The 14,617-nt window shown below is 41.9% G+C and overlaps 1 protein-coding gene across 18 annotated transcripts in view; it reads left to right on the plus strand.

Annotated features, from left to right (window-relative positions):
• Window positions 1–14,617, plus strand: part of WWC1 (WW and C2 domain containing 1) — a 180,659-nt gene that overhangs the window by 83,338 nt on the left and 82,704 nt on the right. For 17 of the 18 annotated variants that reach the window (XM_011534485.2, XM_011534486.2, XM_011534488.2 and 14 more), the window contains one exon: window positions 10,229–10,432. In XM_011534485.2, coding sequence (XP_011532787.1) covers window positions 10,229–10,432 — 204 coding nt within the window. Of the gene's footprint in view, window positions 1–10,156; window positions 10,433–14,617 lie in introns of all 18 variants that reach the window. The other variant, XM_047417020.1, reaches the window with a different exon arrangement.

Consider the following 14,617-nt stretch of genomic DNA (forward strand, 5'->3'; position numbering starts at 1 on the left):
TGGAGAAAACTGCAGGGGGAGTAGACTTAGGAAGGAAGAGCAGGAGTTCATTTGGACATGTCAAGACTTACATGTCTATTACCTATCTGAGAGGACATGTGGCTTGACAGTTTGATATATAAACCTGGAGTTTAGGAGAGAGGTCTGGGCTGAAGATAAGTATTTGAGAGTTGCTGGCATATAGCTAGTATGTAAAGACACTAAGTTGGTTGGGAATGAAACAGAGAAGAGGACCAAGGAATAAGTCATGGGTCTCCAGACAACAGAGGGTGGCAAGAAGAGGAAAAGCAGCAATGATTCTGAGAAAGAGTGATCAGAAAGGAGGGAGGGAAACCGAGTGTGTTGGAAGCCACGTGAAGGAAACATATCAAGCAGAGAATTGCCGACAGTGTCGAAGGCTTCTGACAGGGCAAATACAAAGAGGACCAAGGATAAACCAATAGATTTAGCAACCTGGGTGACCTGACTTTGGAGGGCAGCTTTGGACGAGGACTGGGAGCAAAAGCCTGACTAGAGTGAGTCTAAAAGAAAACAGGGGAGGAATTGGAAGCAGCAATGCAGACAACTCTTTCTTTTTTTTTGTTTTTTTCTTTTCTTTTCTTCTTTTTTTTTAGACGAAGTCTCGCTCTGTCGCCCAGGCTGGAGTACAGTGGCAGATCTTGTCTCACTGCAACCTCCACCTTCCGGGTTCAAGCAATTCTCCTGCCTCAGCCTCCCAAGTAGCTGGGATTGCAGGTGCCCGCCACCACGCCCAGCTCATTTTTGTAATTTTAGTGGAGACAGGGTTTCACCTTGTTGGCCAGGCTGGTCTCAAACTCCTAACCTCAGGTGATCTGCCCACCTTGGCCTCCCAAAGTGCTGGGAATACAGACGTGAGCCACCATGCCCAGCCTACAGACAACTGTTTCTAAAACATAAGCCATTTTTACTATTTCATGTCAGTATTCAGTATCCCCGATTATCTACACATACCATGATTAGATGGTTTTAATCAGTGATCAAATTTTATGTCTGTTTTCTTTTCATACTATATCATAGATATCTAAGGGATGCTATATAATCTTCATATTTGTCTTTTTTTTTTTTCTTCTAGACAGAGTCTTGCTCTGTCCCCAGGCTGTAGTGCAGTGATGTGATCTTGGCTCACTGCAACCTCCGCCTCCCGAGTTCAAACAATTCTCCTGCCTCAGCCTCCTGAATAGCTGGAATTACAGGCATGTGCCATCATGCCTAGCTAATTTTTGTATTTTTAGTAGAGATGGGGTTTCACCATGTTGGCCAGGCTGGTTTCAAACTCCTGACCGCAGGTGATCCTCCTGCCTGGGCCTCCCAAAGTGCTGGGATTACAGGCGTGAGCTGCTGTGCCTGGCCCATATTTGTCATTTTTAATACATCAAAAGGATGTGTCAATACATTTTAACACATAATGGAGGAAGTCCTAGCCAGAGCAATCAAGGCAAGAGAAAGAAATAGAAGATACCCAAATAGGAAAAGAAGAAGTCAAAGTATCTCTCTTCGCTGATGATTTGATTCTATACCTAGACAACCCTAAAGATTCTGCCAAAAGACTTCTAGAACTGATAAATGATTTCAGCAAAGTTTCAGGATACAAAATAAATGTAAAAAAATCAATAGCATTTCTGTAAACCAATAATGTTCAAACTGAGAACCAAATCAAGAACGCAATCCCATTTACAGTAGCCACACACAAAAAAAAAATACCTAGGAATACATCTAGCCAAGGAGGTGAAAGATATATACAAGGAGAACTACTAAACACTGCTGAAAGAAATCACAGGTGACACAAACAAATGGAAAAACGTTCCGTGCTCATGGATTGGAAGAATCAATATTGTTTAAATGGCCATACTGCATAAAGCAATCTGCAGATTGAGTGCTATTCATATCAAACTACCAGCATCATTTTTCACAGAATTAGAAAAAACTATTCTAAATTCATTTCGAGCCAGAAAAGAGTCCAAACGGCCAAAGCAAATCTAAGCAAAAAGAACAAAGCCAGAGGCATCATATTATCCAACTTCAAACTATACTATAAGGCTGCAGTATCCAAAACAGCATGATACTAGTACAAAAGCAGGCACGTAGATCAATGGAACAGAATAGAGAATTTAGAATAAAGCCGCACACCTACAGCTATTTGATCTTCAACTAAGTCGACAAAAATATGCAGTGGGGAAAGGACTTCCTGTTCAATAAATGGTGTTGGGATAGCTGGCGAGCCATATGCAAAAGAATAAAACTGGACCCCTACCTTTTACCATATACAAAAGTTAACTCAAAATGGATTAAAGATTTAAATGTAAGACCTCAAACTATAAGAGGCCTAGAAGAGAACCTAGAAAACACCATTCTGTACATTGGCCTTGAGAAAGAATTTATGAGTAAGTCCTCAAAAGCAATTGCAACAAAAACTAAAATTGACAAATGGGACCTAATTAAACTAAAGAGCTTCTGCACAGCAAAAGAAGCTATCAACAGAGTAAACAGAAAACCTATGGAGTGGGAGAAAATATTTGTAAACTATGCATCCAGTAAAGGTCTAATATCCAGAATCTATAAGGAACTTAAAAAATTCAACAAGCAAAAAACAAATAACCCCATTAGAAAGTGAGCAAAACAATAAACAGACACTTCTCAAAAGAAGACATAAAAGAGGCTAACAAACATATGAAAAAATGCTCCACATCCGTGATCATCAGAGAAATGCAAATCAAAACCACAGCGAGATACCATCTCACACCAGTCAGAATGGCTGTTATTAAAGAGTCAAAAAACAACAGATGCTGGTGAGGATGTGGAGAAAAGAGAACACTTATATGCTGTCAGTGGGAATGTAAATTAGTTCAGCCACTGTGGAAAGCAGTTTGGAGATTTTTCAAAGAACTTAGAACTACCATTCAACCCAGCAGTCCTATTACTAGGTATATATCCAAAAGGAAAGATATCACTCTACCAAAAAGACACATGCACTCATATGTTCATCACAGTACTATTCCTAATATCAAAGACATGGCATCAACCTTAGTGCCCATCAGCAGTGGATTGAATAAAGCAGATGTGGTACATATACACCATGGAATACTATACAGTCATTAAAAAGAAAAAATCATGTCCTTTGCTGCAACATGGATGCAGTTGGAGGCCATTATTCTAAGCAAATTAATACAAGGACAAACACTCAAATACCACTTGTTCTCACTTTATTTTTTTGAGAGTGGGAGCTAAACAATGGGTACTTATCGACATAAAAGATGGCAGCAATAGGCACTAGGGGCTACTAGAGAGGGTAGGGAGATGGGGGCAAAGGTTGAAAAACTACCTATTAGGTACTATGCACAGTATACCCCAAACCTCAGCATCATGCAATACATCCATGTAACAAACATGCACAGGTACCCCCTGAATCTAAAATTTAAAAGTTAAATTTTTTAAAAAGGGAAAAATAAAACACATAATGGAAGTACCATAATGCTTCCTATTGCCAACCTTTTGGTTTATTTTCATTTATTATTTTAAATAGCACTCAGGGAAGACTCTTTGTGTATGTTACTTTCTTTGTGATAATTTCCTGAAAATTCATTTCCAAGTATAGGATTTTGAAGTCAAAGTTATAAATACCTTGGGAGCTTTTAGTATATATTGCTAGATTGGTGAATATTTCCAAAAGATTATATCAGCTTGTATTGCCACAAGACATGAGGGTACTGTTTTCCTCAGACCTTCATCAGTATGGGGCTATGTTCGTTTCTTTTGACTTTTGATACATATATCATAGGTTTAAACTCTTACTTCATTGTTTTGAATTTGCACTCCTTTGCATAGTAACAAGGTTGAATATTCTCCAGATGTTTTTAAGAGAATTGCTTTTGTTGTTGCTAAGGCCCTTGGAAAATGCAGTATTGTTAGCGGCGTGGGTGTGTATGCAGTGTGGAGAAAACAGGTGTGTGGCAAGTGTAGGAAGGGATGGGTGTATGGAGAACTCATGAGTGTGCTGCCATGTGTGCTGTGTGGAGAATGTGTATGGCGTGTGTTTGTAGGGAGAGGTTTAGAGCATGGAGCAGAAGAAAGTGGAGAAGTGGTTCTCAATGATGCCTGCACTAGAGCAGATACAAGTTTGGAAAGTAGCTGCTTTTGGAAAGAGGGATATGAGGGAGATGTTTTATGTAGGAAATTTTATAGTGCACTGAATTATTAAGCTATATCTATGTATACTTTTAATTAAAACAAGAACTAAAATGTAGTAGTGGCCAAGATGATCTCAAAGGGCCTGCCAGTTACAAAGTTACCTATTTTGGTAAGATGGACTTGAGGAAGGGTAGTGTCAGCAGAAGGGGCTGGGCTGTCGGAGGACCCCCTCAGGGTGTGACAGTTCAGAACTAACGGCATTAACACAACTCTTTTTTTTATTTTTTTGAGACGGAGTTTCACTCTTGTCACCCAGGCTGGAGTGCAATGGCGCGATCTTGGCTCACTGCAACCTCTGCCTCCTGGGTTCAAGCGATTCTCCTGCCTCAGTCTCCTGAGTAGCTGGGATTACAGGCATACACCACCACACCCAGCTAATTTTTGTATTTTTAATAGAGATGGGGTTTCGCCATGTTGGTCAGGCTGGTCTTGAACTCCTGACCTCAAGTGATCCACCTGCCTCGGCCTCCCAAAGTGCTGGTATTACAGGCATGAGCCACTGCATCCAGCCAACACAGCTCTTTAGAACCATGTAAAGAACTTTTAAAAGGCCCAATGCCCTTGAAGGATAATCTTTTCAACAGTTGTTGGTACAACTGGTATCCATATGGAAAAAAAATAGGCCACCACTTCTACCTTTGCCTCACACCATGTGTAAAACTAAACTCAAAATAGATCATAGACCTAAACATAAAAGCTAAAATTATAAAACATCTAGAAGAAAACATAGGAGAAAATCTGCAAGATTTTATGATAGGCAAAGATTTTTTTGGACAAGTCATAAAAAGCACTAACCAGAAAAGAAAAATTAATAAATTTGGTTTCATCAAATTAAAATCTTTGTTCCTCAAAAGACATTATTAAGAAACTGAAAAGACAAGCCACAGATAAGGAGACAATATTGCAATACATATCTCTAACAAAGAACCATATTCCAAGTATGTAAAGACGTCCTACAACTTAACAGTAAGAAGCAGCTGGCACAGTCGCTCATGCCTGTAATCCCAGCACTTCAGGGTGCTGAGGTGGAGGGTCACTTGAGCCCGGGAGTTCACGACCAGCCATAGCAAAACATAAGGCAGCACAGGGCAACACAGTGAGACCTCATCTCTACAAAAATAAAAATACAGAATCAGCTGGGGCATGGTGGTACATGCCAAGTAGTCCCAGCTACTTGGGAGCCTGAGGCTGGAGGATCACTTTAGCCCAGGAGTTGAAGACCAGCCTGGACAGCATAGTGAGACCCCCATCTCAAAAAAATAAAAAAATAAAATTCCAACGAGGTATCATTACATACCCACTATAATGACTAAAATGAGGAAAAAAATAACAATACCAACTGCTAGCAAGGATGTGGAAGAACTAGAATTCTGATACACTGCTGGTGAGAATGTAAAATGGTACAACCAGTTTGGAAAAGTTTGCCAGTTTCTTATGAAATTCGACATATACTTGCGAAGTATAATCCAGCAATTCTACCCCTGGTATTTTTGTCCAAGAGAAGTGAAAACATGCCCACACGAAGACTTAGAGTATTCATCATAATAATCCCTAACTGGAAGCAAACTAACAATTTATCACAAAGACAATGTGATGTATTCATACAATAGAATATTATTCAGCAATAATAAGAAATGTACAACAGATACAGCAATAGGAATGAGTCTCAAAAACCTTCTGCTTAGTGAAAGAACCAAGGCCCTAAGAGCAAATAACTGTGTGAGTCCATGCATGTGAAGTTCTAAAACAGGCAAACTGGGAGAGGGGGTGAGTAGAGGAAATTGCCTGGGAGCGTCCAGGGGATCATTGGGGTAAAGGAAATACTCTCAGAAATGTAACAAATTGATGCCCACTTCACACTGTAGATCAATTCAGTGGAAATCTCTCGGGTGATTCCAGTGTGCAACCAGTTTGAGAACCAGTTCTGGTGTGAGTTTGTGTGTTGTTTTTGTCTGTTCGTGCACCCATCTATTCTTATTGGTTTACAAAAGAGACCATGAGCCACAAAAAATGGTCGCCAAGCCACCTGGCTTGGCCAGACCTTCAGGTAAGGGTCTCATATACCTTTATAGTTTTACAGAGCAGTGCTGAGGTCTAAGGCCAAAGGGAAGGTGCCCGTTCCAGATGAAATCCAGAACACTGTGGGAGGGTCCACCTAGGTGTCGCTTAGGGAACTGGACACGGGCCCAGCATTTCAACCAGCACCTGGGCAGGCGATTCCACCTGGAGCCCGCATCGCACCTGCCAGCCTCAGTGACCAATCGGCCCATGTGTTTGTCATCTCTTAAACACCGGTTCTCACCTTGGGTGGCACACTGGAATTATTTGGGGAGCTTTGTAAATCATCATTGCTTTATTCTCACTCCCAGAGATTGGGATTTGATTGATCTGGAGTAGGATTGAAATTTTTAAAAAATTCTCCCGGGTGATTCTAATGTTCAACCAGGGGCTCTCAGCTATATCTGCACCAGAGTCACCCAGAGAAGCTTTAAAAACTGTCAATACCTGAGCCCCACTCCTGGAAATTCTAATTTAAGTGTTCTTCGGGGGGTGGGGTGGGGTTCAGGCTTTTTTTTTTTTTTTGAAGCTTCTCTGCTAATTCTAATATGCAGCAAAGACCCAGAATCACTGGATGAGGCACTGACTTTTAAAAAGAAAAAAAAAAAAGCAATTTCACTGAGAATGTGGGGGGAGGCACTCATGTATGCTGTTTTTGAGAACAGAAATTACCTGCCTTTGGAAGGTAATTTGGTAATATCTATTAAAATTGTAAGTGTGTGTACCCTCTGATCTAGTAGTTTCTCTTTAAGAAACCTATCCCACAGAATTAATAGCACAAATTCATAGACATATGTTTTTAAGAACCCTTACTGCAGCATTGAATGTAGTAGCAAAAGAACTGAAAACAATTCAAATATTTCCCATCGAGGTCTGGTTAAATAAACCCAAATACCATAGCGTGGAACACTGTACAGGTGTTTAAAAGATGGTGCACCTACAGGCAAAAATGAGCATGCTATATCATTTGGAGATGAAAACAAGTCACAGACCAATATAAATGGCATGGTCCATGTTGCATTAAAGTAACCTTGTATATATAGGCGTGTATGTGTAAACAAAAATTCATGTATAATCAGAAGGCAGTATCTGTGTGAGACTCAACAACAGTTACCTCTGGGCAATGGGATTGGAGAGATGGAAACTCTCTTATTTCACAAACTTGTCATGGTGGAATTGTGGGATTTTTCTTTTTTGTACTTTTCATTATTTTGTGGTGAAAAATCAGATCTTCTAAAAGTTGCAAACTTTAAGAAACATTGCCAGCCTGCTCAAGATAGGCTGAGCTGCTTTTTTCTGTGGGCTGTGCCAGCTGGAGGTGTAGGGCAGATCCCTCAGGGGGACCCACGATTCCTGAACGCCAAGGGAATCCACAGCTGCTGATGGGAGATGGGAACCCACAGCAGCTGTTCTGTAGCCCAGTTTTACAAATTCCATCTCCGCCTTGTTTTTTTGTTTTGTCTTTGTATTATTTTTGCATTTGTTCCTGCCTCTTGTTTGGTTTGAAGGGATGGAAAGCTTTCCTCATGAGGGGCAGTTTTTTGTAGCCACTGTAAGCAGTCTTCAGACCTTACTTTTTTTCTCAGAAAAAGGAGGAGGAAAAGCTTGAAGAATTGCTATTCACAGACGATTCAAAAATTGGTCCTAGGCTGGGCACAGTGCCTCACGCCTGTAATCCCACCACTTTGGGAGGCCGAGGCAGGTAGGTCACCTGAGGTCAGGAGTTCAAGACTAGCCTGGTTAACATGGTAAAACCCTGTCTCTACTAAAAATACAAAAATTAGCTGGGCGTAGTGGCAGGCGCCTGTAATCCCAGCTACTTGGGAGGCTGAGGCAGGGATAATTACTGGAACCCAGGAGGCAGAGGTTGCAGTGAGCCAAGATCACGCCACTGCACTCCAGCCTGGGAGACAGAGCAAGACTCCATCTCAAAAACAAAAAAAAAAAAAGAAAAGAAAAAAGAAAAAGAAAACAACAACAATGAAAACTGATCCTAGGCAATAGTTTGGGTTTTACTTTCACTATCATTTGTTTCCTTTACCTGGCACAAGTGCTTTAGTTTCCTGTTTCCTGGGCAGTAGTGATGCAGGGTTCATTACCCCCTTTAAGAGATACAAAAGTAGATTCAGAGACGTTAAACAGCCTTTCTGTTGTAACACAGCGATTATTGGCAGGAATGAGAACTTGGCCCTGCTGCTTCTTTGATCTTTATTTCACTGGAGATGCTCATTGGACCTGTTTAGGAGGAATGAGAGCTAAAGGGCCTAGATTGGGAGGCATAAACTCCAGTGTTCCCCGGGCTAGGCATATGACATAAATGAATGAAGCAGACCAGGTTTTGACAGATGGGGTGCTGGGATTTCTGACCAGTTGTGAACCCAAGGTGGCCAGAACTTCTGAATGATCAAGAAAAGCCATAAAACAGGATTTTAATGAAGATATCTCTCCATTTTTTACATACCAGTAATCAATTCAGAAGCAATACCTATCTGGAGGCTGGATTCACCACATTGCCCTGATTTTACAATTTCTGGCTTGTTGATCACCCCTAACACCACCCAACAACTGGGGGTGACTGAGGAGTTAATAGTCCATGGGCATTGATTCTTTGACATTATTTTAACCTCTTCCATATCTCGTCAGCTGCTTTTTTTTCAGATCATTAGTGTATATGTTTTTTGTACACATAATTTTGTAAAAAATAAAATATCCTAAAATATCCTGCCACCTAGTTGGTTGTTGATATTTTCCTATTTTCTCATCTTTTTGAGAATGTACATATTGATTTTGATAGATAGTTATTTATTCGGTTTTATGACCTGCATATTATAAGTACCTTTCCATGTTATTAATTTTTCTTCAAAGGTGTTATCTTTATAATAGTGCATTCTGTGAATATAGCATACATATTTGAACACTTATTTCTGTGTGACTTTGAGCAAGTTACTTAACCTCTCTACGTCTCAGTTTTCTCATTGGTATAATGGGGATAGTAATAGAATCTATAAGGTTCGTGTAAGGATTTAAGAAGTGAACATATGTAAAGTTCTTAGAACAGCACTTATCATAGAATCAATGACATGTGCTTGCTACTTCATAATATATTATTATTATGGTTTTGTACAAATATATGACTGAATTTAAATTACTTTTTATAATGAATTACTATAGGGAGAATTATTGGTCAAAGGGTATTAACATTTTAAGGCTCTTAATTTGCATTGTCAGATAGTCTTCTAGTAAGGCTGTTCTAATTCACATTTCCAGCTGGCTATAGGGTACCTATTTCTCCACATCCTCTGAGACATTAGTTATTTTTCTTTCCTTTAGTCTTCACCAAAGGAGATTACCTTGAGCATCTCTAATGTCCTTGAGCCTCTCTGTCTAGATTAGTACTCAAACCTGATCCTTATTCAGGCCGTTCTCAGAGATTGACATTGGGTTTGGAAATTGATCCTGGTTTATTCTTTTTTTTTTTTTTTTTTTTTTCAGACAGAGTCTCATTATGTCATCCAGGCTGGAGTGCAGTGGCACGATCTCAGCTTGCTGCAACCTCCCCCTCCTGGGTTCAAGCAATTCCCCTGCCTTAGCCTCCCAAGTAGCTGGGATTACAGGTGCCTGCCACCATACTGGCTAATTTTTGTATTTTTAGTAGAGACGGAGTTTTACCATGTTGGCCAGGCTGGTCTCAAGCTCCTTGACCTCAAGTGATCCACCTGCCTCAGCCTCCCAATGTGCTGGGATTACAGGCGTGAGCCACCACACCCAACCCCCTGGCTTATTATTTGTTTGACTACTCCAAATGGAGAATCACTGTCATTTAGTAAATGAGTTTGCCCCACTTACATTTATTGTGATTTGTCTATGCATTTTGCTTTTTGTTTTCTGCTAGTGGATACCACAGGCCACCAGCCCAACAGATATTTGTGAGATGCTGACCTAGAATCTCTGGGGTCTGTTCCAGAAACCACTCAGATTGAGGATCCTCGAGTACAATGGCGGCGGGAGCAGGAACATATGCTGAAGGATTACCTGGTGGTGGCCCAGGAGGCTCTGAGTGCACAAAAGGAGATCTACCAGGTGAAGCAGCAGCGCCTGGAGCTTGCACAGCAGGAGTACCAGCAACTGCATGCCGTCTGGGAGCATAAGCTGGGCTCCCAGGTCAGCTGTGAGTACCTCCCACTACCACCACCCCCACCGACACCAACAGAGAATGGCCACACTGAGTTCTGCCAATATTGCTTCTCAAGTCTGCCCATTTCTCTTCACCTCTACTCTTTGTCCAAACCACCATCTTGTTTACTGCTCTTCCTGCTCCTACCTGTGCCTTGCAGTGATTCATTTGCCATTTGCGTTTCATTTTATTTCATTTGTAATCATCTCAGAATGCCAGTCGGATTACATATCTCCTCATTTAAAAGCTTTCAGGGACTAGGGGAATTGGGAATGGGGAATTCTTAGTTAACGAGTACAGAGTTTCAGTTTGGGAAGAAGAAAATTTCTAGAGGTGGATGGTAGTATGTTCACAACAGTGTAAATGTACTTAATGCTACTGAACAATTCACTTAATAAATAGTTAAAATGGTAAATTTTATGTTGAATATATTTACCGCAATTTCAAAACAATCAAATGCCCTTCAGTGGCTTCCCCTCACTCTTTCCATGGCCTATACAGCCCTCCGTGGTCAGGCCCCTGCCAGCCACTCTTGCCTCATCTCATGCCCTCCTCACTAGGCTCCAGATGCACTGAGCCCCCAGCCCCCCTTTCTGTTTCCCTACCCCACCCTGTAATTTTCCACCTCAGTGCCTTAGTATGTGCCGGTCCCCTTCCTAGAATGCTTTGTCACGCATCCATTTGCAAGGCTAAGTCCTTCTCAGTCTTCCAGTCTCATCCTTCAGGTCATCACCTCTGAGAGGCCTGCTCGGACAACTCTATCAGAAGCCTCTCTTCCTCAACTCTAGTCTTGGCCATGGCTGTCTGTTTATTTCCTTCATATCACGTATCACAATACATCTGCTTGTATGTTATCAGTATTTCCTCCACCAGACCATAAAGTTGGTCAGAGTGGGGCTCCTATCCTATCCCTGGTACCCAAAGGAGGAGAGCAAGCATGCCAAAATCCCCTTGTTCTTTTTTTTTTTTTCTTTTTCTTTTTTTTCTTTTGAGACGGAGTCTCGCTCTGTTGCCCAGGCTGGAGTGCAGTGGCGCGATCTCTGCTCGCTGCAAGCTCCGCCTCCTGGGTTCATGCCATTCTCCTGCCTCAGCCTCCAGAGTAGCTGGGACTACAGGCGCCCGCCACCACGCCCAGCTAATTTTTTTTTGTATTTTTAGTAGAGACGGGGTTTCACTGTGTTAGCCAGGATGATCTCGATCTCCTGTCCTCGTGATGCGCCTGCCTCAGCCTCCCAAAGTGCTGGGATTACAGGCATGAGCCACCGTGCCCTCGCTCTGTTGCCCAAGCTGGAGTGCAGTGGCACAATCTTGGCTCACTGTAACCTCCACCTCCCGGGTTCCAGCAATTCTCCTGCCTCAGTTGAGATTACAAGCGTGAGCCACCACGTCCAGCTAAGTTTTGTATTTTTAGTAAAGACAGGGTTTCCCGATGTTGGCCAGGCTGTTCTTGAACTCCTGACCTCAGGTGATCCACGTGCCTCAGCCTCCCAAAGTGCTGGGATTACAGGTGTGAGCCACCATGCCAAGCCTCACTGTTTCTAATAACCAAATTGTTCCTGTATTTATTGAGTCTCTGTTTCATGCCAGACACTCTGCTATAGTCTGAATATGCTATTTCTGTTAATTCTCATAACAGTTCTGTGAGCAAGAACAATTAATATCACCCTTTTACAGATTAGGAAACTGAGGCTTAGGATCAACAATGTGCCCAGGGTCTTACAGCTGGTGAGAGATAGTGGTAACTTGCAAATCCATTCTGTTGTCCCCACAGTATTTTCAGTGTGGGCCAGGCCACAGGGACTAGCATCAGGGCATGGTGTCAGGGTGGCCATGGCTGGGTTGGGCCATTGAACTCTCCCCTAGTGTGAAGCCCTTACTTTGAGAAGTTCTTTCTGCTACCAAGACAGGACAAACCTTGCCAGGGTACTTACTGTCCCAGCCCTCCCTTTTTCCTTAGCAGCTCAGGAAAACCCTCAGGATCTCAGAGGTTATAGAAAAGAACTGTGTTACATTCATTAGCTATTCTGTGTCAAGTAATGTTCTGGAGACTTTTAGAAGGTTTTAGCACTTAATCTGTCTTAGTCGACTCGAGCTGCCATAATAAAATACCATAGATTGGGTGGCTTAAACGTTACACATTTATCTTCTTACAGTTCTAGAGCCTGGACGTCTGAGATTCGGGTACTAGCATGGTCGAGTTCTGGTGAGGGCTGTCTTCCCGGCTTGCAGACAACTGCCTTCTCTAGTGCCTCTTTCTATTAGGGCACTAATCCCATCGTGAGGAGCCTACCCTCAAGACCTCATTTAAGCCTGACTATTTCCCCAAAGCCTCATCTTCAAATACTATCACTTTGGGGATTAGGACATCAATGTATTATATTTATTTGGGAGAGACACAATTCAGTCCGTACCATTTTTGTTAAGACGGTCCTGGAAGGGAGATGTTATTGTCCCTGTTGAACCTCAGGTTTAAAGGGGCAAAGTGATTTCTCTCTCTCTCTCTCTAAAGTCCCACAGTTTGAAAAAGTGTCAGGTGTATATAAAAACAAAAACAAACCTTTGTATTTTGGGGGACAGGATATTTACATGGACCCATAATCACATGTCAGGTAATGAGAATTACCCTACAAATCACTCACTAATTTCAGAAAGATGTACTTTTACATTGGAGAGATGGGCAGCCACCACTTTACGTAGTGGTAAAATTAGCATGACCAATAATGAGACCAGGTGATATCAATGCCTTCTGACGTGATGCAATAAAGATATCATGAAGGATCCCTCACAAGAATATTTCATCTGAATCTAATCAAGAGCACAGCCAGACAAATCCATAATATGGATTATTCTATAAGACAATTAGACTAGGTTTTTTTTTTAAAGCCTAAAGAGGCACACCACCAAATGAAATGTTTGTACCTTGAATTAGAGCCTGAAATGGGGGAAAAGCAGCCATAAAAGACATTCTCAGACAATTGGAGACTTTCCTGAGTTGTGATAATGGAGTTATGAATATGTAGGAGAATGTCTACATAGATTTTATGAAGATGCATGTGGCAACATATCTGCAGCTTATTCCAAAAAAGGTCCAAGAAAAAAAGGAAAGGAAAGAAAATAGGAAAAACTCAGTCGGGCACAGTGGCTCACACCTGTAATCCCAGCAATTTGGGAGGCCGAGGTAGGTGGATCAATTGAGGTCAGGAGTTTGAGACCAGCCTGGCCAACATGGTAAAATCTTCTCTCTTCTAAAAATACAAAAATTAGCTGGGCGTGGTGGCACGTGCCTGTAATCCCAGCTACTCAGGAGGCTGAGGCAGGAGAATTGCCTGAACCTGGGAGGCGGAGGTTGCAGTGAGCCAAGATTGCACCACTGTACTCCAGCCTGGGTGACAGAGCGAGACTCCATCTCAAAAAAAAAAACAAAAAACAAAAACAAATAAATAATTGTCGATGACACATTGATGGCTTTGAATATGGTCCAGATTTTGCCACCATTTCTAATCATGATTAGTAGAGGGCTTATTGTGAACCACCCTAATGAGAGAAAGAAAGAACTGGGGTGGGAAGAGGGATGGCAAGAAGAAGCATGGGAAAATATTTAAAATTCATGGCTCTAAGAGAAGGATATATTGAGATTCATTACATTATTCTTTCAAATTTTCTATAGATAAGAAGTTTCCAAAATTAAAAACTAAAGTTGGGCACTATGAGAATGAAACATTCACATGAGAAGCACTATAGTAGGAGGCCAGGTGTGGTGACTCACTTCTGTAATCCCAGCACTTTGGGAGGCTGAGGCAGGTGGATCACGAGGTCAGGAGATCGAGACCATCCCAGCCAACATGGTGAAACCCTGTCTCTATGAAAAATACAAAAATTAGCTGGGCGTGGTGGCGCATGCCTGTAGTCCCAGCTACTCGGGAGGCTGAGGCAGGAGAATCGCTTGCTTGAACCCAGGAGACGGAGGTTGCAGTGAGCCGAGATAGCACCACTGCACTCCAGCTTGGGAGACAGAGCAAGACTCCATCTCAAAAAAAAAAAAAAAGAAAGAAAAAAAAGAAGCACTGTAGTGGGAGGTGGCAGCTGGACTCTGACATCAGACAACCTGGGTGTTCTCTAGGGGACCGTACTCCCTCTTTAAGTCTCAGAATCTTTATGTTTAACTATTGAATTTTTGTT

This window comes from Homo sapiens, chromosome 5 (genome assembly GCF_000001405.40).
Source record: "Homo sapiens chromosome 5, GRCh38.p14 Primary Assembly".
Classification (NCBI taxonomy): Eukaryota; Metazoa; Chordata; class Mammalia; order Primates; family Hominidae; genus Homo; species Homo sapiens.